The sequence below is a fragment of the Homo sapiens genome, chromosome 12 (assembly GCF_000001405.40).
Source record: "Homo sapiens chromosome 12, GRCh38.p14 Primary Assembly".
In the NCBI taxonomy this organism is placed as follows: Eukaryota; Metazoa; Chordata; class Mammalia; order Primates; family Hominidae; genus Homo; species Homo sapiens.
The window spans coordinates 75,553,434-75,580,123 of NC_000012.12; the positions used below are offsets into that span (position 1 = coordinate 75,553,434).

General features: G+C 38.2%; 1 long non-coding RNA gene across 3 annotated transcripts in view; it reads right to left on the bottom strand.

The window, feature by feature from the left end:
• The window catches only part of LOC105369844 (uncharacterized), a 310,508-nt gene that overhangs the window by 29,173 nt on the left and 254,645 nt on the right, over positions 1-26,690 (bottom strand). The window contains exons 10-12 of one of the 3 annotated variants that reach the window (XR_007063375.1): positions 21,916-22,185; positions 11,367-12,643; positions 9,786-9,967 (exon numbers count right to left, since the gene is read on the bottom strand). This is a non-coding gene — a long non-coding RNA (uncharacterized LOC105369844). Of the gene's footprint in view, positions 1-9,785; positions 9,968-11,366; positions 12,644-19,946; positions 22,186-26,690 lie in introns of those variants that run through there. The other 2 variants (XR_007063374.1, XR_007063376.1) reach the window with 2 other exon arrangements.

The window sequence follows — 26,690 nt, forward strand, 5'->3', positions numbered from 1 at the left end:
AACAGCATGCAGCCATAGCCACCTCAGAAGGACCTGAGCTGAGGACACCACCTGAGGATTATGGTTGTTAATAGAATTATTTTTAGTCCCTCTGTTTAGCTGAATGCATTCCTTTGTGGGGAATTTAAAGTGCTTCATTCACATGTCCGCTTAATTGTCACAATCCTGTGGCTGTGTAGGGACAAGATTAGCACTGCATTTCATGAATGAGGAAGCTGGAGAAGGTTGACTCATTCAATGCCACTCAGGTAGCTCTTAGGAAAGAGAAGATTGGAAATGCTTTTCTTATTCTTGGTGTTTCTGCTGTGTGGAACTGCCACTGATTTTAGCATCAGAGTAATCAAAGCTTGACTGCCACTGAGAGATCCAAACATTCACAAACCTGAGAGTCTTGGTGGCTAAACTGCCACAACCAAGAACATACTGAGTCAGATCCTTTTTACCTCCTAATATGTGAGGCCTGAAGCTCAGTTTCTGTGAATTCCTTCCTTGGAAACAGCTACATAATTTTCAGGGCCCTGTGCAAAGTAAAACTGCATGCTCCTTGTTCAAAAAGTATGAAGAATTTTAGGAATCTTTCTGCAGATCATTCAATGAAGCATGCAGGGCATTTCTGAGGTTCCTCATTCAGGCAAGTAGCTTTTTTCTTGCTCTTCTATCATCGCCCAGATCTTCATCAAGTTTTACTGAACTATTACTCCTAATATCTTCTATCTTCTTTACTTGTTTTCAGTAACATTATTCAGTGAACCTCTATGCTGGCATTGGGATGAAATTCCTAAAATAAAAATCTGTTGAGGTCATTACCTTGTTAAAAATCTTTCAAAGATTATTTCTTATCTCCTGGGTAAAGTAAAACTTCTTATGCTTCTCTTTCGGTTATTTACTGGCATATAAAAAAACACCCAAAACTCAGTAGCTTAAAACAGTCACTATGTATTTGCTCACAATTCTGGGTTTGGCAGTTGAAGAAGAGATCAGCTGGGATACTTTGTCCCTGCTCCCTAGGGTATTGCTGGGCTCACTTATGTATTTTGTGGTCAGGTGACAGTTCAGCTAGCGACTAGCTGGTCCCAGATGGCAGTTGACTAGGGCTTTCAACTAGTGTGCCTCAGTTTCCCTCCACATGGGCTCTCCAGCGAGCTGGCTGGGATCTTCTCATAAGGGAGCTGGATTTTAAGATAGTAAAACTGAAAGCTGGAAATGCCTCTTGAGGCTTCAGCTCATAAATTGCACAATGTCACCTCTGCCACATTTTATTCATCAAAACAGATCATGAGACCAGCCCAGATTCAAGATGTTGGAGAAATAAATTTTACCTCCTGAAGGAAGGAACAGCAACATTACATTGCAAAGAGGATGTCTACAGGGTTGTGAGAAATTTGTGGCTGTATTTTGTAATACCTTAGTAACACCTTGCCTTGCATTCTTCATGACCTACACTTACTGACCTTTCCTTCTTTGTCTCCCGTTACTCTCAAAACACAATATTGTTTTGGTAATTATGATGATAATGATAACAACAACAGATACAGACATTGATATTATCTTTGTGTCAGGCATCATAGCTCATGTGCATGTATCATGGCATTTTATCCTCCAAATTCCCTATAATGCAAGTAAATGGATATTTTATCCCCATTTTAGAGATGAGGAAACCGAGACATTCAGGAGCTTACTAGGTCTCACAACAAAAAAGAACCTAAACTGGGATTCAAACTCAGGTATGCATGATTCCGACATTCGTTAACATTGTATCATGCCACACAGCTATACCAAAGTGTTTCTCTTACTTAATGTGTACTCACATGCCTTTATGACATTCACATGCTATTCCCTTTGCCTGAAAAAGCCTATATCTATCTCTTTCCTTGTCTTCCTTTTCTGTTTCATCCCCTTCTTCACACACAACAGAAAAGCACATACACAACTCTTTATGAAAACGTTTCTGATTCTCCCAGGCAGAGTTAGGTGTCCCACTGTGTGCAGATCTGCTTATCTGTTTCTTCTTGAGCATTTACCTTTTGACATAGGAATATTGTCTTATTTTTCTTTCTTTTTTTTTTTTTTTTTTGAGATGGAGGCTCACTCTGTCACCCAGGCTGGAGTGCAGTGGTGTGATCTTGGTTCACTGCAACCTCTGCCTCCCGGGTTCAAGTAATTCTCCTGCCTCAGCCTACTGAGTAGCTGGGATTACAGGCGCGTGACACCTCACCGGCTAATTTTTGTATTTTTAGTAGAGACGGGGTTTCACTATGTTGGTCAGGCTGGTCTCGAACTCCTGACCTCGTGATCCACCCGCCTCGGCCTCCCAAAGTCCTGGGATTACAGGCGTGAGCCACCGCACCCAGCCTAAATATTGTCTTATTTTTCTATGCAACTCTCAGGATTAGTATTTACCTTATAGTCATTGTTTAATAAATGATTATTGAATGGAACTTTTTAAAGCATGCTAACTTTGATAATAATTAAGATTATAGTCAGGCTTGTTGATAATTTTTACTGAAATAAGCAATCGAAGTAGTTGAAATAGCCAAAACAATTGTCCATGTAGAGTTTCAGACAATCTTTTGCCGGTGCCAGTTGCATTAGACCATTCATTCATTTATTCAATTATTCAGGCTTTTACAGGACATTGTGTACTTTGACAAGGCATTCATGCATTCAGTCACACATTAAGAAAATTAACAGATGTAAAAATGAACCAGTCTTATGTTTAAATAACACTGGATTTTCTATTTTGCTTTGTTTTGTTTTTGTAATCAATATAAACTACAGTCTAGATTAGCTAACTTAACACCCATTCCCAACCCTGTTCTTTGCTTGATTACCTTCACTATCGAGGCTATAAATACTATGTACTCACTTTCTTAGCCTCGCTTGCAGATGTGGGTAGTCATGTGGTACAGTCTTGTCAATGACACATAATTTGAAATACGTTAGAAATTGTTTTGTGAAAATTTTATTTTCCTCTTTAAATAAAGACTAGACACTCATTTCCCTTTCTCCCTGCTGTGAGTACAGACATAGTGCCAGGAGTTGTAGCAACCATCCTATAACCATGACAAACAACCATCATGCTATGCACTGCAAAGTATTAAGACAGAAAAAAACTAAATCCCCCATGACACAGTTGAGCTGCTGTATAAGCCTCCTGACTCTCTACATACAGACTTTATGCCAAGTGAAAAGGGAGAGCTCTATTTGTTTAAACCACGATTGGTCAAATTTTTTTCTTACTTGTAGCCAAATATATCCCTACCTAAGGCACATACAGTTTGGCAATACAGTGTGGAAATTACCTAAAAGGATGTGTGTGTTTTGGGGGAGGGGATTATTTTATTTAAACAACAACAGTGTAACATGAGTCTATAAGGGCAAAGATACTTGTTTTGTTTTGTTTTTATTCACTGTAATATCTCCACAACTTAGAGTAGTAACTGGCACATAGTAGGCATTCAATAAATATTTGCTGGCTGAGTTAATAGTATAAATGAGGAGCTGCCTCTTGAATTGTGTATCCTAGCTTCGCTTCTGCAAGGTGTATTTTAGCTGTATACCTTAAATGGCTTTCTGAAACCTAACAGCAACAAAAGTTTCATGCAGCCTCTGACCATAAGAAGAAGCTTCAGGCATCCTCAGAAGAAGTCAATAACTATAAGAGCTTCTAAATCTGGTGAAATCCTATTCCCGTTTTATTATAATATCATAAAAGTCAATTTAAGGGGATACCTGCAAAGGATCTGAAATCACAGCTATAGTGATGTTACATTTGACCTGGGTTCACCTGCTGCATGACTCCGTGTGCACAAATCCCTCATGCTATCTCTCCGACAGGATGTGATCTGGTAAGGAGGCTTTGGAAATGTAGTCATAACATTTGCAGTTTATTGCCTTCTCTCTGTATTCTTCATCAGAGAGATGACAGAGGTTCATGAGGCAGAGAAGTGTTACTTGTTGAACTTTGGGCTTTATGTATGTATACGCAGGTATTTTACTATCTTTCGCATCCAACAACTCTCACTAGATCAGAAGCAACAGATGACATTTGAGTGAATTCTATACTTAAATAATTCATCATGATGCATTATTTCTTCATCTATCTTCAAGAGATATTTTTTAAAGAAGGATCCTTCCTCTTGTTGATCCACTCTAACAAAAATATCTTGCTTTATTTTCAGCACGTAATAGGTCTTTGAGAAAATACTTGTTGTGTGCACAACTAAATTATAAGCTGTCAATGTAAAGAAAAATATGTTAATGTTAATTTAAATAACTAAGAATGAAGTTCATTATCGTGTCAACAATTCATTTGTCACCTTCTGAAAAAAATATTGTCAGAATCACTATTATTCCTCCTTATTAGAGATTTCTAATAAAAGGTCCATGATGATCCTTTAAAACTAGTCCTTTGCCTATCTTCATAACGACTTTTGCTTTATAGAAAACAATACTAGTTATGTGATTCAAAGTGGATTTTTCTTCTAGAATAGTCCTGCCTATAATGTCCAAGGAAGAGCAATTACTCTTTCGAGAACCATCTGAACTAGTCCAACAATTTGCTTGAGGAAAGCTTGAAGTATTAACCTGTTCTCACTTTGTTTTTTAAAAATAAAAACACATGTGGTAGTAAGAATTCAGTTTCCATGAATGTGCTGCATGCTGGTCAGAAGACATGAAGTCCTTAGATTTTTTTATAAGAATTAATACGCATTATGAAGGCCTTTTAGTTCTCCATTTACCTTGGGAGCTCACTAGCTCTAATAAGTGCAATAGTAAACTTTGACATTTCTCTAAATTGTGCCAGGATGTTAGCTATGAGAAACATGTTTGGAGGTTATTTGCCTCATTTTTCTCCTTCCTTTTGCTTTCCACTCAGTTTTCCCCACCTTGCACACAGGTCTGTTTACCTAACTTCGGAGAATTTGTGCTTGGTTTGCTTCAGCAAAGAAGTAGTTGGATTCCTCTATTGATTTTTGACCCCCATTCTAACCTCAACCATCACCCTTCTCTAGCCCAAGGGAGACCTGAGCTTTGTTTTTAAGGGAAAGGGCAATGAAAAGTCAACGCACAGGTCAGGGACAGGCAGTAATGAAACACTGGGATCAGGTGGCAGCAGCTTCAGCTCCTTTCACAGGACACTGAGCAAGAATGAAGACTCAAGGACACCATTCAGAGAAAAGCAGATGGTTTGTATCAAGCGCTTGGTTATGCTCAATCTCCTATCAGCCATTGTTGTCTTGCAGAAACATTTCCAGCTACGCAACTGGCCTGTTTTATGGAGGGACAGAGCAGTTTATGGTAGAGATGCTCTGTAAACTATTTTTATAACCTTGAAGGACATTAGATATAATCTATGAAGCAATGAAAGGTATGAGTGTTTTGGAGATTATCCCCCAACATTAGCTTCCCAGGAGTACCCCTTTTACAAGTCTGTGGTTTATGCTCCTTTGGGCATGGATGTCGGATCACTATTTTGGGAACTGACAACAATAACAGCCAGCTTGACTGTGTTCATACTCTCGAGTGTATATAAGCATCCACAAAATTTGGCTTCTTAATGTGAAATGACACCTGATATGAAACTGTCCCCTAAGAAGGTGTCAAACACAAAAATTCAACGGAAGCTAGGAAGCATGCGTCCAGCTGAATGTGCACACTGAGAAAAGGCTTTTTCAAATGTAGTAAAAGGAACTAATACAACTGAACTCTGTAATGAATTTAAATCTAATACAAGTGAACTCTGTAATGAATTTAAATAGTCTACCGTATGTTTTATTAGAAGAATGTCATTTGGGGCTTGGTTGGTGGATAGAAAGTTTTCTAGAGGCCGTGTCAAAAAAAAATACAAAAATATATAAAAGAATTTCTGATGTTTATTTAGTGTTTGTGAAGGTCCAGATACTATGTTAAATATTTTTCAAGCCTCATAGGTTCATAATTAAATTCTTTAAGGAAAGAAAGCACTATTATGATCTCCATTTTACTGTAAAGGAAATTGAAGTTTAGAAAGGCCAACTAACAAATGAATGCTTAACCCAGGTCTATCTGAATCTAGTGCCCTAAAATCTTAACTGATAGGCATTGTTGAATATTTACCTATGATTTCAAAGCCAGGCATTATACTAAATGAAACTAAGAGATAATAACCTGGAAAATGTGAATAGTCAGAACTATTCCATTAAACAGCCAGTCAGAGTTGAGTTATACAAGGATTCAAAGAAATGTATATGTGTGCTTCACACAGAAATTAATTTCGGAATGGCCAGTTTGTCAAAAATGATAGCTTTTTTTTTTTTTTTTAAACAAGAGTCTTGCTCTGTGGCCCAGGCTGGAGTGCAGTGGCATGATCTCAGCTCACTGCAACCTCTGCCTCCCGGGTTCAAGCAATTATCCTGCCTCAGCCTCCCAAGTAGCTGGGATTACAGGTGCCTGCCACCACACCAGGCTAATTTTTTTGTATTTTTAGTAGAGACAGGGTTTCACCATGTTGGACAGGCTGGTCTCCAACTCCTGACCTCAGGTGATCCGCCCACCTTGGCCTCCCAAAGTTCTGGGATTACAGGCGTGAGCTACCGTGCTGAGCCAGCACTCTTTTTGAAATACTAATTTTTAAAAATAGATGAACTGTGCCTTTTTTCTTCTTTTTTTGCATTTTATCACAAGCTCATGGATCTATGCTATACTACAAGCCCATTTCTTTCATCTATTCAGTGGTTTCTGATGACCTAACACTGTTAGGTAAAGGTGCATGTGTTGCCAGTAATTTTCTCACCAAGAATTACTTTAACTTATGTGGTTAAAGGTGTCAATACCTTCCCAGGAAAAGCACTGAGTGGGTTAGTGGAAGGCACACACTTATCAAGCAGCAGTTCTTGAGCAGCAATGCTTGTTGTAAAAGTGCTAATATTTATTTTCCACACTAGAGGACAGTGCTTGAAAGAGTAACAGTCCTTACCTCAAAGGTTAGGCAGCACCAAGACTGGAACAATCAGACCATTATTAGCTTCCCTAACCCACGTGCAGAGCACATAAAGATTTTATTTCTTTGGGAGAAAAAAAGAGAAATAAATATGTTTGCTCTAACATGCGGCAGTAATCAATGATGATGCTGTATTAACTTCCTGGGCACAGAGAAAGAGAAATGCCAGTAAAATTTACTAATTAGAATTGCCAAAGAATGAATGAAAGAAGACATCTTTATAAATGCACATGAAATCCTTTCACAATAAGCTCTTAAAGAAAGAATTTTTGTTGAAGCTGTGACTAAATGCTCAGAAAAATAATCTGATGTTTTGGGTTGATTATCATTAGAATTCAGTGATGAAAAACTTATTTACGTAAACATCTTGTTTTCTCTCATCAGTATAATAGTCATACATGCTGTAGGGTACAAAATACAAGGCCCAAAACATATATGTAATGTTATTTGATGGTTAAGTTTTGCCCTTGGAAGCAGGAGATGGGTGTTGGAGAGGGAGTGGTTAGTGGTGTTTGAAGATGGATTTCAATACTATAGAAACCCCTTTTGGTTTTACCTGCATGAATCTTCAAGCAAGAGTATCACTAACTACATAGACTGTCAAAAGGGAGGCATTGTTTCCTTAAGCCATAATTAAAGACAGTCCCTCGCCTTGACGTTTGCTTGAACAAGGACCATTGGGACCCTGAGGGATTAACTCAGCATTCATACTTTTCAAAAGGGGCTGGTGGGAGTAAGAAAGAGGAGGAATATGAGAGACTAATGAAAGATTTCATTGAAGGGCACCAAATCCAAGACTTCTCATTGTTCCTGGAGCCAGCCCAGGTGATTCACCAATCAGCCAGTGGAAGGGGCTCTGTTTTACTGAACTGAGGTGGGTGTAGTAACCTCTACTTTCCCATTCTCAACATCTGACCCTTTTCTACTTCACTGTTACCCTCATCTTCTGTTTATATTGATTGCCTACAGTGTCACAGAATTGAAAAATACTGGGGAGCCCAGCACACTCCTGGGTACTACAGCAGATTACACCAATTTTAAATCTTCTCCCTGCCCTGAAGGATATATGGATACACTCGGTAATAGAAAAGCTTACCGTCTAGTGGAGAAGATGCCCCGATACCCAATCAACCATCCCCTCTCCTAGCGTGAGAACAGCCCTATCTGAGCAGTACTAGGTATTCACTCCTATTCATTTTCTACCCCTGACTTGAGGACACAGTCCTGGGGACAGTGACCCCAAGATTTCTCTCTTTCTTTCCTTCCTTCCTTCCTTCCTTCCCTCCCTCTCTCTCTCCGTCGCTCCCTCTCTCTCTTTCTTTTCTTTGAGTCTTGCTCTGTTGTCCAGGCTGGAATGCAGTGGCGCTATCTCAGCTCACTGCAAACTCCGCCTCCCAGGTTCACTCCATTCTCTGGGACTACAGGCGCCCGCCACCATGCCAGGCTAATTTTTTTTGTATTTTTAGTAGAGACGGGGTTTCATTATGTTGGCCAGACTGGTCTCAAACTCCTGACCTCGTGATTCACCCACCTCGGCCTCCCAAAGTGCCGTGACCCCAAGATTTCTAACAAAAATCACCACAGTCTGGAATATCGAGAATTTTGTTCAGCCCTCTGTAGCTATGTGACCCTGTACAGCCCTGCCCAAGACAACTAACTACTCTGTACAACACAGTTTCCTCTTTGCAGAATGAAATTACAGATGTAACCACATCACGGGATTAGTGTGTGAGTGGAAAGGAAATAAGGGTGGGAACGACCCTGATGCCCATCACAGAGCTCTTTCTGTTGTGGATCCTTCATGAGCTCATAAAAGTCACTAATTTCAAAAGAACAGGCTTTATTCAGCCTTCATTTGGGATGTACAAAATTTTGGCCCCGGATGGAGACCTGATTATTTACATTCCAAAGGATCTTCAACTTTAAAACCTTAACATAGCATTTTTTTTAAAATGAATTAGCTGGAGTTGTAGAATACTAGATCTGGTTTAGATTTTAGAGCTGTTTTAGGTAGTCTCCTGGTGATCCACCTCCATATATAAATAAGGAAATAGCAATTGGGATGTTTTCCTTGGGCTAAGAGCAATTTTTTGGAAGAGCTAGTCTTAAAACCAAATCTTCTGATTCTCAGCCCTGTTGGTTGGTCAGCTAATAACTGTAAACACGAGATTAGAATCAGACATATATAATGATAAAGTGGCCTAAAACCATCACATTATTCAATGAGATTTGCTTATTAAAGAAATCTACATTGCATACCCATTCAGAAATATATTTATAAGAAATACTGAAGTACAAACAGCAAGAGGAACCAAAAATGTGTGCACAAATGCAACCAACATCAATATGCCATCACCAGCCATCCAGGTTATTTCTAGTCTTATCAAAATCAACATAGCAATAAAATGTCTCCTTGTCCTTTCAACCTCCTTATTAAAATGCATTAAATTTGTTTTTTTCATACATAGAAAGATAAGGTTATTAATTACAGGAACTGCTTATCAGCAAAATGTAAAATAGCAGGAAAGTCATTTGATGGTTTAGCTAAGAAGAAAAAGGAATAATGGGAAGAAAGAAATTCAGATGAAAGAAGTTGAAGGAAATGAATATTAAATTCATATTCATAAATGATTTAATTTTTTAAATTGAAACATTTCCTAGAAAGAAATCACATATTTTAAAAGAAAGTCGATTATGAAGTATACAAGTATATATATATGTATGTAAATTGCCATTTAAAATTAAAAGAATAAACTGTTGTATATTTTACTAGACCTTTTACAAATAAAAAGGATCACCTCACCTCCAGAATGGTCCTGGCAGGATTGCAGGTAGCTGGGGTCAGCAGAGGTGTGAGGGAGAGGTGATCTCGGCATCTACTCCAAACGCCTCGCTTTGATTCCTATATAACCTTGTTGATAACTGGAGTTTTGGGGAATCTTAGGTTTTAAGAACTTCATTTCACAGGTACTTAAAATTAATATCCTGCAAATAGAAGGTAGAGGATTACCTTCTCTTCAGAAAGCAGAAAAATGGAGCAGTCAATTCTATCAACATAGCCTGTATTTGGAGCACGGCTTTTAAACAGACAGCCAGGTCTCTGCTGTTGTGTTGTCTTGCCTGTCAATCAAAGTGTTTGGGAAATGGATTCTCAACGTTATGTGTCAGTCAATAACCTCAGTCTTGAAACAGAAGACCATAACAAGACTGGATTTATTTGCATTTAATTTCAATGAATTTACATGTCATGGTCACAAGTTTTAATTTCCTTCACAAAATAAATTAGTGAAAGTCACTTGTACAGTATTGATAGGAACAAAGATTTTCAGCCTAATTTATCTGAAATATACATATAAATTTAGTAAATTTAAACACAACCCCTAATTTAGAGGAACAGATAGACACTAGGTATTTGGGAGCCATTATTCTTTTTCATTTTAGTAGGAAGTAATTTTTTTCTTTTTTCTTTTTTTTTGAAATGGAGTCTTGCTCTGTCGCCTAGGCTGGAGCGGTGCAGTGGTGTGATCTCTGCTCACTGCAACTTCCACCTCCCAGGTTCAAGCAATTCTCGTGCCTCAGCCTCCCGAGTAGCTGTGATTACAAGCATCTGCCACCACGCCCAGCTCATTTGTGTTTTTAGTAGAGACAGTGTTTCAACATGTTGGCCAGGCTGGTGTCAAACTCCTGACCTCAAGTGATCTGCCCACCTCCGCCTCCCAAAGCGCTGGGATTACAGGTGTGAGCCACTGCGCCACTTTTCCTCAAGTACAAAGTAATATATTTAATATTTGGTGTTGATGAAGGAGGAGTTTAAATTCACAAAGCCTTATGGGGAAGCAGCAGCTTTTGTAGAATATAATATTCTGTTTATATTACCTATCAATCATCTATCTACCTATCTTCTATTTATTGAGTAGTTTTCCAAAACCTTTTCAGCTATAGAACACTTAAAAAAAAAAAAAACTCATCTGAAAAAGTCATATTAAAAACAAAGGTGTTCTGGCTGTGTTTGGGGTGAAGCCCGTGCCCAGGCCCACTCTGCTGCATCCTCATTTGTGGGTTGAAAGGAGAGACGTGTGTTTCTGGGAAAGGGGCAGTACTGGCTGAAGGAATTGCTGTGACCCCATGGCAGCTGCCCTTGGCAATCTCAGGAGGAAATGCCTGCAAACCAGGCTGTGTAACAATAGCCAAACAGGCTGCTTTAGCCTTTGCCAACACCAGAAATAAAGAATTCATTATGACTAATTAATTAATAAAATATGCAATGCTTCCTTTAAGGCTGTCCTGACTGGAAACACTGTAACAAAATTAGCAAACACTCTAAACCATGAGTCCCATGTGTTAAACATCCCCCAAATCATATCTGATAAATAAAAAAGCATACCTTCTAAGCCAGTGAAGGGTCGAATATTTCAGGAAGGATCCATTGTTAACCAGTTGAAAATACCTCGATTATATTCCATACTGCAGTGGGAAGGAGTGATTTACTCTTACTTTATTGGCTTGCATTTTAATTTGAATCTATTTTTAAAAACCTACTTTGGTTGTGGTTCAATACTTGCATAGTTGGCCAAGTGATGTTTAATCATGCATTTGAGTCGGTTGGGGACTGCAAGCTCTCAGAGGACGGGACTCAGCTGCTTAACTTCAATCCTCTGCCAACTGCTCTATGTTGTCAGGTGCCTAGGGATGGCCTTGCAGCCAGAGCTTTTTCTGTGGCTTCCTTTTCCTCTTCATTCTATCTCTAGTCCCCATTCAGACTTTTTAATAAGAGCAAACTACTTCCCTCGGTAGAAAGATTCCATCTGCAGAATTTTCCTGTTGAGCATATGTCACGCATAACCAAAAATTGTATCAAATGAAGAGGATGTTTGACTTCAGCCAAAACCATTCTAAGAGACTTTGAAGTTATGGCGGCTCCACTAGTTGTACTCCACTAGAAAAGTTTTTTTTTTTTTTTAATGACACATTGAACCCTAAAACTAGCTCATCAGATCATTCAAATAGCCTGGCTGATTAGACGTTACAGTCCCAGTGACAACATTTTATAGTAAATGTCAGAAACAGAAAAGATAGGTGGACAGATGAGTTACGATTCTCTATGACAAATGGAACGATGAGGTTGAGTATCTTCTTAAACATGAGCTCAACTTTCCTCTGAAACCTTTGCAGATTACATTTGATTGCTGTCTAGATCAGAAAGGATGATGTTACCAAAGATCCATTCTTTAATTGCTGCTTCAAGCTAGGGAGTCCTTGTGCTTTCAAAAATCCCTTCCAGTTTCCAGGGAAAAGGATCATTCTTTGAACTTTACATGTCTCTTAGTAAATTTGAATCCATGATTTGGTCCTAGACATGATCGCAGTTTTCAGTTCTTGGGCAATCAAATCAACCCAAAATAAATTTCTCTTCTTACATGTATGTATTGGGAAGGATGGAGTAACAGATGGGGGAAGGCTACTGAAATAGAATATCGCTTAATCTCAGATATCAGGGTCCTTAAAGCTTCAAATGAGCACTTACTTGGAATAATTGGTAATCCATTTACTCATTCACTAATTCATTCCATAGACGTTTACTGTGTGCTTGAGATCTACCAGGCACTGGGCCAGGTTTGGGTAACAATGAACACAACGCATCTCCTTTCCTCAAGGTTAGTGCTACAGACACAGAGATAAACAATAAGGACTGATCATGTACAGGCAACAAGGCACAGGATCCTGAGGGGGAACAGAGAAGGGAGACCTAAAGCAGTCTTGGAGGGGAGGGTGGCATTGAGATGAGCCAGCCTGGGGAAGGTGGGTGTGAGAGAATGGCAAAAGGTAAGAAGGGAAAGCAAATCAAGCACCAGGTTTTGAAGGGCTTTGTGCATCAAATAAGTTTATCTGATCTTGATCTGCTTTTGCCTTTCTCAGACTTTGATATCCTGGTGGCCATATTGCAAAACCACAGGATAAACAAGAAATATCTTCCTGGAGCATTGTTTTTGCTAAGTGTTGAGTAATTTAAAATATTTATTACTAAAGAAGTAGAGTGCAAAATCTGCATACATTTGTAAGATAAATTATAAAACTCCTAAGATATTTTGTACTTGTGACAGGGAACTTCAGATCCCAGGCCTGCTCTCTCCTTTGCCATTGGGGAAATGCTTGTGGAAAAGTTTGCAAAGCAGATCGTAATGGGGAGCTACTTAAGAGTTTTAAGGAGACCAATGACAGGAGCCAGTTTGCAAGTTAGAAAGACTTCAGACTGCCAGGCAGATAACGATTTAGAGAAGAGTGAGAGTGGAAGCAGGAAGAGCTGCTTCAGGAGGCTCTGCGTGGTGGCTCATGCCTGTAATCCCAGCAGTTTGGGAGGCCGAGGTGAGTGGATCACCTGAGGTCAGAAGTTCGAGACCAATGAATAACCTGAGGTCAGGAGTTCGAGACCAGCCTGGCCAACATGGTGAAACCCCATCTATACTAAAAATATATATAAAAAAATTAGCCGGGCATGGTAGTGGGCGCCTGTAATCCCAGCTACTCAGGAGGCTGAGGCAGAAGAATTGCTTGAACCCAGGAGATGGAGGTTGCAGTGAGCCAACATGGTCCCACTGCACTCCAGCCCGGGTCTCAACAAAAAAAAAGAGAAGAGCTGCTTAGAGGCTATTGTAGTCACAGATATGAGAAATATACTGGCTCTAACTAGGGTGGCAGCAGCAGGGATTTAAAAAAGTGATTTGCAAGACATTAAGGCAATAGCATCAATGAGACAGTTTTTGATTCATTCATGTAGTTAATAAACTTTTACCGGGTTTATAAGTAACAATGCCTATGTTCCAGGTATTGTTCTAGGTTCACAGCAGGGAAAAACACAGAAAAGAACCCTACCTTCTTGGGGCTTATATTCTAGAGGAAAGAGGCAGATGAAACAAAGTAAATAAGCAGTTAACCCCATAGCATAAATCAGTGATAAATGTCCCAGTGGAAATGAATTGGTCAATGTGATGATTCCCTGGGGAGCAGATAAGGTGGTCAGAAATGGGATTTGAAGAGTGAAAAGAGAAGAAGGCAAACATGATGAGTGAATGACAGTGTGCTATACTGAGACATGGAACATAAGAAGAAAGGAATATTTGAGAGGGAATGAATGATACTGAGTTCAGTTTGGGAGATCCAGGAGAATATACCCATAAGAGAATTGCCTTGGAATCTGTGCTTAAAATATAAAGAGATAGATAGATGATAGATAGATGATAGATAGATAGATAGATAGATAGATAGATAGGTATAAAAAACATACATGCTCACATAACACACACACAAGTACCACATGGAGTCACTTTAGAGATGGGGAGGTACTGAATCTAAAGATATGGAAACAGCAGCAATAGGAAATGAGGGCACAGCCCCAGAGACCTCTTGAGCAGGTGTGGGATTGAGATGAAAGATAATGTGTTGTTTATTAGCTAAGGAGCATCATCTTAGCTAATACATGCTATGTATGCAATAAATAGCATGTTCTCTGACGTTCAGTAGATATAATCAATGGTTTGATGGTTTGATTTGGTACATGTTCTATTCTGCTTTTATTAGTGGAAATAACTCCAAGAGTGTGCGTGGGGAAGTCAGTGGAGCAGTTGGAGCTCTTTTTTGGCATGTGCTCTATGCATGACTTCCACACTGTCCACCTGAACTTAAAAAAGGCACCTGCACAGTCCCTAAAGAGACTCCAAGCTATAATGAGGCCCATGCCCAGAAGCGGAGGGAAGCCATTAAGATAATGAGGGAATCTGGTGTTCTTCCTTGCAAGAGCCCCAATTAGAGAATTTAAAACCCCACATTTCAAGGATGTGTTACCATTGAAAAATTCCAGTTTTTTCTTTCTAGACAATGTGAGACAATAAAACCCCAGTGTGAAAAAGGAGGAAGCTCAAGAAACCCACTTCTGGGAAGAAGTGGAGGAACATAAACAACCTTTTTTCTTTTTCACCCTGCAAAGAGTCCTTCCACCACAGCTGAATGTCTTTCTTCAACTGCTATTGCTTAATAATCTTAGCATTTACATTGACCTTTAAATTGGTCGTTTGGCTGGAGACAGTTTTCTGTGGGGCAGATTTAGCTAAGATCTGCCTACTGGTTTATACTAAAATCCTGCATAATTATAAAAGCCACGGACCTCACTTTTGGAGTCTTCCAACATCAACATTGAAGAACACTCCACCTTCCAAAAAAAAACACAAAACATGTTTCTGCATGAAAGGCCACTTTGAGCAAATGAAAGTATCTGACATGCAGCTCTAAATAGGTCTTTTCACGGGTTATCCTATTACAGTAAATGGAAATGAGTTATTCTTTCCTAGGCGTGGGGTGACATGTTAAGAGTGGGTTTAAAAACCATAGTGTGCTGGCCAAAGCCTGAAAGACAGGCATCTTAGGAAGATGTTGGTCTGTTAATTGGCTACTCAAGGAACAGAAGTAGAAAACAGGATATTAAAAGACCAAATTTAAAATAGATGACAGGCTTATTCAAAAGCCATATACCCGAATTGAATGTGGGAATGTGATTGTCTTTGTGTTTTCGTGTTTTTCATATATGCTCACAGTGTTGCAGTATCAGGAGATTCCTGGCACATGCCCCAACTCTGAGACTGTTTCTATACTTGTCTAGGCTGCAGTGCCACAGACAGCAAAAAAACCCTAATTTTCTAAGTCTAGACAGGAGCGAATATCCAGGAACCAATATGTGTGCTTATTTGTAGTTTCTTTCTAGGAACAAAAAAATCAGAGTTTATAAATACAATTCTATAATCATACCTTTCCAAAACAAAGAACTGGATATAACTGTCAACTTTTTTTGGTGGCTCATGCCTGTAATCTCAGCATTTTGGGAGGCCAAGGCAGGTGGATCACTGGAGGCCAGGAGTTTGAGACCAGCCTGTCCGACATGGTGAAACCCTGTCTCTACTAAAAATACACAAATTAACCAGGCATGGTGGTGGGCACCTGTAATCCCAGCTGCTCAGGAGGCTGAGGCAGGAGAATCGCTTGAACCTGGGAGGCCAAGTTTGCAGTAAGCTGAGATTGTGCCACTGCACTCCAGCCTGGCCCACAGAGAGAGACACCATCTCAAAAAATAATAATAATAATAATAAAGAATGAATGAAATGAAAGCCAGGCAGATGAATAATTGAGGGTTACTCCATGTCAGTCTCACATTAGGCTGACATTTTTAAAACAGTTTTGATATTCAAAACAAACAAAAAGATAGGTAGCATTTCCAGTTTAAAGAGATGAGGAGGCCAGGCGCGGTGGCTCATGCCTGTAATCCCAGCACTTTGGGAGGCTTAGGTGGGCAGATCACAAGGTCAGGATTTCGAGACTAGCCTGACCAACATGGTGAAACCCCCATCTCTACTAAAAATACAAAAAAAAATTAGCTGGGCGTGGTGGTGGGCGCCTATAATTCCACCTACTCAAGAGGCTGAGGCAGGAGAATCGCTTGAACCCAGGAGGCGGAGCTTACAGTGAGCTGAGATTGTGCCACTGCACTCCAGCCTGGGGGACAGAGCAAGACTCCATCTCAAAAAAAAAAAAAAAAAAAAAAAAAAAAAGATGAGGAAATTGAAGAAAAAATGTTATTTGTCTAATGTCATTTGACAGACGCAGGAAGAATATTCCAACTTAGGATCCTTGAATTCTAAAGACTTTTTGTTTTGTTTAGTTTTGTATGTGTGTATGTATGACTCCTATTAGGCCTCTCTATCCCCTTACAGAAGCCAGTGAAAGAATAAAATAAATAATTCAAAGAAGACCTACAGTAAGAGAGACAGTGCTGTGTGAACAGAGACAGCTGACCCTTCTCAGGAGCATCTCTCTAGATGCCTACTGGTTGGCTTTTTCTTGGTGAATTCATCCGTGTTTAGGTCCTTGTTCTCAATCTTGCAAGCTCAAAAATTTAAACTGGTCTATATTCCAAAGTTGGTCCAGTTTTCTTCTCTTTCTCTCAAACAACACAAAGATGAATATAAAAGCAGAAAAATCTTTAAATTTATACAATGAGAATTATAACACCCAAGATGAATGGGCAATCATGTTAACCTGACTAGCACATTCTTTTACCAGTCACATAAAGATAAGATTCATGCGATGCCAAGTTATGATCAGAACATGTGAGATTTTGTGTATTGTTAAAGAAAAAAACATACCTTATGAGACTCCGGTAGCCACCTATACAATTGTGAATTGATTACTAAGCTGACTATAGCAAGATCTGAGTCAGTCTTGAATACCAAGATCTAAATTACCAATGTTTGCCTCTGGCGCTCCATTTCCAACAATGCCTCTCTGGCTAAAAAATAATCTCTCTTTAATTTACTACATTAGTAGAATTAATCAGGCTATTGGCAATACTTGAGTCCAGGGATCACTTTTGATATTTTTTTAGGTTTCTTGAAATATATTTATGTTTAGCCATTACGTGTTCACAGCTCAACCTTCAGAGAATAGCCTAAAGTTAGGATTAACTTTATCCATATCTAGCCCCACTGACCCCACCTGGGGAGAAAAAAAACATCAGAGGACTTCAGCTATACCTGGAACAAAAATATCCAATTTTCTTTGGGTTGACATAATCAGCTGGATAATAAACAAAAACTGAAATAATAGTAATTCTACATGCAAATGATACAATTCACTTGGCACAACTGTCCCTTAATCTGATGCCTAATTGAGAAAAATATCAGGCAGCTCATTTATAGCATAAAACTATCATTCTGGAGAAAATTTTTCTCATGAGTAATTAAACAAAATTTAAATAAAAATGCTGCCACCAAGTAAATTTGTTAAATTGTGCTTTTACTGTATCAGGGCCTCAATTTAATTGTCATCTGTCTGTAAATACTAGAGAAGAATTTGCCATCAGTTTAAGAACATAATGACTGGCAGTTTTCCAGACATAATTACTCCAAAACAGGACAGCATTGTGTAGACTGCAAACACTTGCACAAAAGATATGGTTTATGTATGAGGTAACGTAAGGGCATGAAAGAGGAAAGACTACTTTTAAACCCATTACGAATATCAGGAAAAGATTGGGAAAAGACAGCCCCATTGAGTTAACGAAGGGTACATTCCAACATACAATTACAATCCCATTTACAAATAAAAGCATCCTTCAGTTGCAGACATCAAAGAAACCCATCAAATTTCAATCAGGCTTACGTTATAAATATTGGAGAGGAAAGATGGATGAGGGATAATTACTTACAGCAGGTCACTACTTTTCTAGTGAAGAAATAAGAATGTTAATAGAACCAAATATGCCTGTTTTTCAGTTCAAATAAAAGGGAAGCAGTACATATTTACAGCGGATTAAATGGTGACTCAAGAACTGATCTTTCAGGTGCTATAGGCATCGGGCAGTGGAATTCAGGAGCAGGAAGAAGTCTCTCCCCCAAAACAATCCAGCCTTTATTCTCTGCCAGGGAAATTCCACCATGAAATTTCTCTATGACAGCACTATTTCTATTCAAACTCAAAATACCATTGGGAATGAAAGAACATTAAGCTGCTGCCAATTATTTACTTCTTACTAGGAAATAATTTCAACAACATTTATTTGACAAAAGTTTATTTATGTACCAGGCCCTCTAAAAGCTATTGGGAATACAATATGGAACTAACATAGACATGATTTCTTACCTCCTGGATCTTAGATTCCAGCTGGGGAGACAGCCATTAATCAAATAACCCCTAAGTGGGTGTTTAATTACAGACTGAGAGAAGATCTATGCAGAAGAGAAAGGTGGGCCTTAAAAAGCCTATGACTTCATCTAGGCTGGGGTCTCAGAAAGTCCAATGAGGAAGTAATCATTGAGCTGACTGTTGAAGGATGAACAAGAGACAGCTAGGTGAGGAGAAGGATGGAAACTCATTCTGAGCAAATTAACAGTATGCTCAATATCCATAAAATGGAATGTTATTTAGTCATAAAAAGAAATGAAGTACCGATAAATGCTACACCATGGATGAACATGACAAACACTGTGTTAAGTGAAAGAAGCCAGGCACAAAAAGCCATGTATTGTATAAATCCATTTATATGAAATGTCCATAGAGATAGAGATAGAAAATCCATAGAGACAGAAGTCAGATGAATGTTTACCAGGCCTGGGAGTAGGAGGGAATGACTAGTGACTATTTAGTAGGTATGGATTTTCTTTGGGGATTATGAAATACTGTGGAACTTGACTGTGGTGATAGTTATACAACATTGTGAATGTACTCAAATGCCATTGAGTTGTCCAAATTAAAATGGTTAAAATGGTGAATTGTAGGTTATGTGTATTGTAACACAAATTTTTTTTTAAGCAGTATATTAAAAGACCCTTCTCCTGGCAGGAGTGAGCATGGCTTATTCTAGAAACTGAAAGATGCAGTGTGGATGGATGGCAGAGACAATGGGGAGAAGAGACAGTAGGCTGGGACAAGAGCATGCAGAGGCATGGAGGCCTTGCTAGGATTCGGCCTTTATCTTAAGAGGAATGGAAGCCACTGAAAGTTAAGTGTGCATCTGTGCGTGTGTGTGTGTGTATGTGTGTATGTGTATGTATATAGAGGGGGAGCATTACCATCCACACACACACACTTGAAAAAATATCTATATATTCTGTGCATGTGTGTGCATGTGTGTGTGTATAGAGGAGGAGCATTACCATAAACACACACATACACACACACACATATTTGAAAAATATAACCATATAGCCAAGAAAGAGTGTGTCTTTATAGCTTGAAAGAAGAGTGTGGTGGAAGATAAGATGGGAAGAGGGAAATGTGCACAAGGCAAACGACACCTCCTTCCTAGTTTTTGTAGGGCTAATTCTGTTTAGGTCCTCCTAGGTAGAGTTGTATAGAAGTCTTGAGATTAGCAAAACACATGAGGATATTTCAGTGTGAGGTAAACAAGCAACTGATGCTTGAGTGTGTAATAAGTTATTTTAATATGGGAAAGCCGAAGAATGAATTAGATATTTAATGAGATTTTAAGATGGGGGCACAGGTTGGTGCTCAATCTAGGGTTTAAACTTCAGGGTAAGACAGTGAAGAGCAGTGCTCAGGTGCAGTTGGAACTGTCAGTGATGGCAATAACATGATTTTGGTTTTCCTTGGTTAGAGAATTCTTCTGAGAATGGACCAGAACTTCTGTACTCCCGGTAATTTGTGGGATCCTACAGACTTGCCACACGGAGCTAGTTGCATTGCATCTCTCAGTATCAACAGTGTGTGCCACATTGGGGTAGAAATGAGGTTATGCTTCAGTTTGGAGGAGGTGCTTTAGGAATAAATACATTAATTGATGTTAGAAATTAGAGAGCATCATAAATTTATTTATTCATTTGTTCCATCCTTTCTCATGAAGCAAGTGTTTGAGTATTGTCTATTTTAGAGCACTATGCTATGCCTAAGTCCAGAAGACCAATAATTAAAACGAGGTCATTTTCTATGAAAATTAAGAAATTACAAATGTAATTTTACAGATAAGATACATGAATGAAACTTTCTGTTTAGATCATAAGGCCAGAACCTAAGAAGTCTTGTTTACTTTCTAACTAAATATCTATAGGAATTATTTTTTAATGGACATAATTTTTGAATGAATACAGTTTTAAAAATCCAAAATCACTTTTTGTACTAATACCATATTTCCATCAACTGCTATTTTTCGCCTCCATGATATAATACCAGAAAGTATCTCAGGTACATATTGGACAATGGGTAAAAAGAAAAAGACTTTTCTTTTTATCGATGTTTATGTAAACTTGATAATCACATTCATTACAAGATGTAAGACTTTGAGAACCACCTGACAATGGGAAGATGTTTAGTGAAATCCTATGAAGCAATTTTTTTGTGAAAACAGTTTTCAGAAAAGAGAGTTGTCTAAGTTCCCATAGCAATAAAGTAGCACTGCATAAAACTCCCAATATCTCAGCTGTTATTATCCAGCACTAGATAGCACCTAGCAATAGAAAGGCTTTTCCTTGTGTCAGTAAGCAGATGGGCAGGGGCTACCTACTTTCTATGAAGTTGAAGATTGGTCAAAAGATCAAGAGACAATCTAACTGAAAGGTTTTCTATTAACTCAAAAGATTCATAAGGGCAAAAGTGAAAAACTAGAGTAAGAATAAAGGAGGACCCAGTGCTCAATAAGTTTAAAAATTCAAAATAAATGGCAATAACTTAAACACAATTCCATGGCTTAAAATTACCTGATACATTTGATTTCAAAGAAAAACCACTCATTTATTTTATTTAATTATGACTAAAGTCAGTGGCATATACATTTTTAATAATATGTGCATTTGCTTGAAAAATTAGGAAATAAAACTTAACATTTTAAAAAGGCATTGTAAAGAATGTGACTCCTTAGTACTGACAGACTGACTCCTGAGTACTGAGAAGATTGACAGGCTCTCAAGTGAAGAGAAAATTAGAAAGGTAACTAAAATACAAATTTTTCCAGCTATTAAAACTCATTGACACGGATCAGCCTAAATTCAGAAGGTGATGTTTTCTTAATTAAGTCACTGATGCCATTCCTATTATCATGAACACTAGAAGAGAGATTTTTAATAATCCAAGGCTCATAAACCCCTAGGCTATCTATCAGTGGGGTTTAGGGCATCTGTGAACCCCCCGTCCCTCACCAAATCTTATGATAAATAGTGTGTGATAGATGTCTATTGTATCAACTTGGCTTAGAACTAAGTCTTCCATATGTCTTTTCTGCAGATTTCTTGGACAGTGTGGACCTCAAGAGACATTTTGCATAAGATGTAGAAAGTGGAAGTGAAGCAGTAGCCATCTTGTTTTTTTATGCTTGGAAGATGGATGCAGGGCTCCAAGCACTGTTGGAACTCATGCATGTTGTCACTTATCCACAAGCTCACCTTGTTGGTGAGGGGCAGCAGCTGGGCTCCTGCCAGATCCTCCTGCTGCATCAATTTCCCTGAATCCTGGACCAGATGCATATTTAGCTCCATGATGGAAGGCACCAGTTTCTCCTTCATTCAGCTTGCCTTTTCTTCCTCTGCTTCCCATCCATCTTCTTTGCCCAGCTGTCTGTGGACTTCAGGTGCCAGCACCAGGCCAGAAACTACAGCTTTATATCCAAACTCAGACCTCTTCACCAGTTTCCACAGCACTGTAAGGACAAATCCCTACAATTAAGAAATATATATTTCTTAATTGAAAATTAAGAAATTGAAAATTGAAAAATATATATTTACTTATGTAAATATATATTTATATGTGTAAAGATTTACTTATATATAAGTAAATATATATTTATATGTAATATATAATATAAATATTTGCTTATATATTTATATATAAATATATACATACATTATATATAAATATATGCATATTATATGTGATATTATATACAGTTAATAAAATATAAATATATATTTATATATTAAATATACTAAAATATATTATAAATATATATTTTAATAACTGTATAAACTAATAAGCGTGTATGGTTTTGCTTAAACCCTGATACATTGTATGTTAAAGTATAATTTTTTTAAAGTTATAAATGTATGGCCAGGTGCCGTGGCTCATGCCTGTAATCCTTGCACTTTGGGAGGCTGAGGCGGGTGGATTACTTGAGGTCAGGAGTTCAAGACCAGCCTGCCCAATGTGGTAAAACCCTGTCTCTACTAAAAATACAAAAAATTAGCTGGGCATGGTGGCATGCTCCCGTAATCGCAGTTACTCAGGAGACTGAGGCAGGAGAATCGCTTGAACCCAGGAGGCAGAGATTGCAGTGAGCTGAGATCACGCCACTGCACTCCAGCATGGGCAACATAGCGAGACTCCCTCTCAAACAACAATAAAAGCGGGCAGATCATGAGGCCAGGAGATCAAGACCATCCTGGCCAACGTGGTGAAACCCCGTCTCTACTAAAAATACCAAAATTAGTTGGGCATGGTGGCACGCACCTATAATCCCAGCTACTCAGGAGGCTGAGGCAGGAGAATTGCTTGAACCAGGGAGCCAGAGGTTGCAGTGAGCCAAGATTGCGCCGCTGCACTCCAGCCTGGTGACAAAGCGAGACTCCATCTCAAAAATAATAATAATAATAATAAGTTACAAATGTAACTCTCATACAAATTCATAGTGAGCATAGTATGACAAAGATTTACTTAAGTTATTAATGAGGATCCAGCGGGATGTCAAAAATAGTTCAAAGAAGGATGTAAGTCACCAATGAAAGTATAAGAAAGAATGCGGGAATATGATTGCTAAATTAGATTCAAAACTGGTTAATGTACTACACGACAATCAAAACATAAATTTTAGAATTATCTCCCTTTTAGAGAGAAATCATTGGCATCTCATCTGGACAAAAATCATTGTCATCCAATGAAATTTCTACAAGTTAAGAAGTAATTTTATAATTTGGACTCTAATCAATAGTAAACAGTAATCAGGCAAAGCTATATTTCAAGAATCAGATGAGCCTTCATCAGGCTTATTGGACACTGCTCAAGCAAAACTTGGGAATGTCATAGTTATCATTTTGCTTTATTTCCAAATTTTGGAAATTTTTTTAGCATATTTATATGTATTTTTCTACAGAGAACAGCCAAAATCTAAAGGGATTTTCAGTTTTTAAAAAGAGAGAGTAAAACCAACCAAATTTAAAAAATAAAATAGAACAGATCCCATTCGAATTTTTCAATAATTGCAAAAAGTAAGAAAAACTTGTTTAATTCTGGAAGTTCTTGTTTAACTGAATTTTTTCTTCATTGCTAGTATAAAAATAAAAATGCTCAAATATCTCATGGTTTTAAAATAACACAGCCATAAAAAGCAGTTCATTTGTTATTGTAAGCTACCATATTATCTTTTTATTTTACTTTAAATGAATAGCCAGCATTTACTGAGGTCTTACTATGTAGCAGGAGATTTGACATACATTATCTCGTAACAACCCAGTGATGCAGTTACTGTCACTGGCCTTGTGCTCTAGAGGAAGAAGTCAGCTCAGAGAAGTAAGTCAGCTCCACTGTGAATATTTGGACCCAGGGTTTTCTCACTTTATTTTATTATTACTATTTTTTTAGAGACAGGGTCTTGCTTTGTCACCTGGGCTAGAATGCAGTGGCATGATCACAGCTCCCTGCAGCCTCAAACTCCTGAGTTTAAGTGATTCTCCCACCTAAGCTTCCCAAGGCCTGCAGGTGAATGCCACCACGCCAGGCTAACTTTTTTTTATTCTTATTATTATTTGTAGAGATGGGGGAATCTCTTTTTTTTGTTCTTATTGTTATTTGTAGAGATGGGGGAATCCTTATATTGCCCAGGCTGGCAAATTCCTGGGCTCAAGCAACCCTCCTGGCTCGGCCTCCTAAAATGTTGGGATTATAGACGTGAGCCATTACATCCATTATAGACGTTATAGACGGAGCCATTACATATATTAGAGACCACAGATTTGCCCACCACTAGCTTCTTTCACCTCTCCCAGAAAACTCCTTGAAAAATAAACATGTTTATTACATATTCATTGCCTACTTCTTGTGCAATCAATGCATAGTGTATGCAAACTGCCTTGCTAGCTTGGGGCCTGGCACATAACACAAGTTAGTTTCCTCCATCTCTGTCCACCCTCCCATCCCTTACAGAAGTAACAGGTTGCTAAGGTTCTGTTTTATCCCTTTTTCTTGGCAATATCACAGTTTTAAAAATAAAAGCTATAAAAATGACCCCAAAGTCTACTTCAAATTCCAGATATCGCCTCCATATATCCATTGGCTTGTTGGGTTTCTCCATAAGATGTCCCTCTAGCATTTCAAATTGTGTCTCAAATTAGAATATACCTGGCACAGAGATGTCATCATGAATTTAAGCTTTGTTCTAATATGTTTCTCCCCTAATAACGATGGGCATATGTGAGCCCAGGGTGTAGGAACATCAGTTTTACTCAGTGGTAAGTAAAGTGTAATATTATTCCTCCCCTAAAATATTCACATGGCTCATTCCCTCATCTCTTTGAAATTTTTGATAAAATGGCTCCTCCCTAAAGAGACTACTTGACCATCTCATCTATCACATACCTCTTAGCCCTCCCAGTCCTCCTGTCTTGTTCTATTTTTTTTCTAGCACTTATCACCTACTAAGACCCTATATAATTTACTTTTTTGTCATGTTTATTGTTACTGTCAATCTCACTTTACAAGAATGATGGTTCCACAGGGCAAAGATTTTGTTTGTTTTGTTTACCAGATTGTCAATGCTGCCTAGAGCAGGACACATGGTTGGTACTCTATAAATATTTGTTCAGTGAATGAATGAATCGATGATAGCAAAACAAACACAGCTACGTTATAGTATGCACAGAAAACATGTATGAATTGAAAATGTGACACATCAATGGAAATAGTTAAATTTTTTCTATAACTTGATACACATTTTTCACTTAAATAAAAATTTTAAAGAAAACTTCTAACACTACAAAAATGAAAATCACTATCACTTGCTTTAAATACAAGACAACCTTACTAAAAATTATGTAATTACTAACATAAATATTACATATGTACTCTTTAAAATCTCCATTTCACTGGGATCACACACCTCATACTTTGGGAAATATTAGACTAAGAAATTTAAGGAGATTCTATATTAGAGATTACTAACTCCTAAACCTGGAAGTGGTTATGGAAACTATCTCATTTTAGAAATAAAGAAATGGAAGGTGAGAGGGTTTGAGTGTCTTGTTCCAAGCCAGACAGTGATGTTTAGGGGTCTGTACCACCTAATTATTCTGCTCTTCCATGACACATGTTTGCTTGTCTCTAGCAGTGTTGTGCCATTCACAATTAAGCAAATCCTCTCTGGCATTTACCTGCTTCTGAGCCTTTCTTTGTCTGAACATTTTTGTTTGCTTTCTGACTCCTTTACCCTTATAGACCAGATTCATCCTACACTTTGTGTTTCTTTTGCAGCATTTATTTGTGCTCTTCTGTATTATATTGTTCTTTTTTTGTACTTGTGTCATATTTCCTACTTTTCTTGAGCTTCAGTATAGTAACAGTTTTATTTTTAAACTGTCCCTCTGTGATACCTAACATTATACCTAATAGTGAGTTTGTGTTCAATAAGATTTTTACAAGAACTCAATTGAATCTTACTACTATTTGGGAACAAAGCATTAGAAAATGAGATGCTGGTGGTCTTTATATACTATGGGGCCCATCTGTTTGCTATTACCTGTTTCCCACCTGCTGTCATTACCAGCATAAAACTCCATCTGCTACTTCCTCTTCTCTTCCAAGCCTGACTTGGCACTAAATCTGTCAGACTCTACATTAGAGTTGACTAGTCAGCATTACTTTTCCGTAATGATTTTTCCTAATTACTACATCTTATTTTATTTTATTTGGTCCTCGAGAGTATCCTTAAGACGTGAGTCAGGTAACTAGCACTAAAATCAGGACAAATCTGTCAAAACTGTTTTTTAAAAAGCATTAAACAAGCATTCAGATTTGAAATTGAAGTAGAGGTTACAGATGGGTGAGTGTGACCTTGGGAAATCACTCAACGTTTCTGGTTCTCAGCATTCTTTCCTTTATGATGAGAGAATTAAGCGCAGTGTCTCTGAGATCCCTTCCAAATGTAACATCCCTGATAGCAAAGGTTCATCCCTGA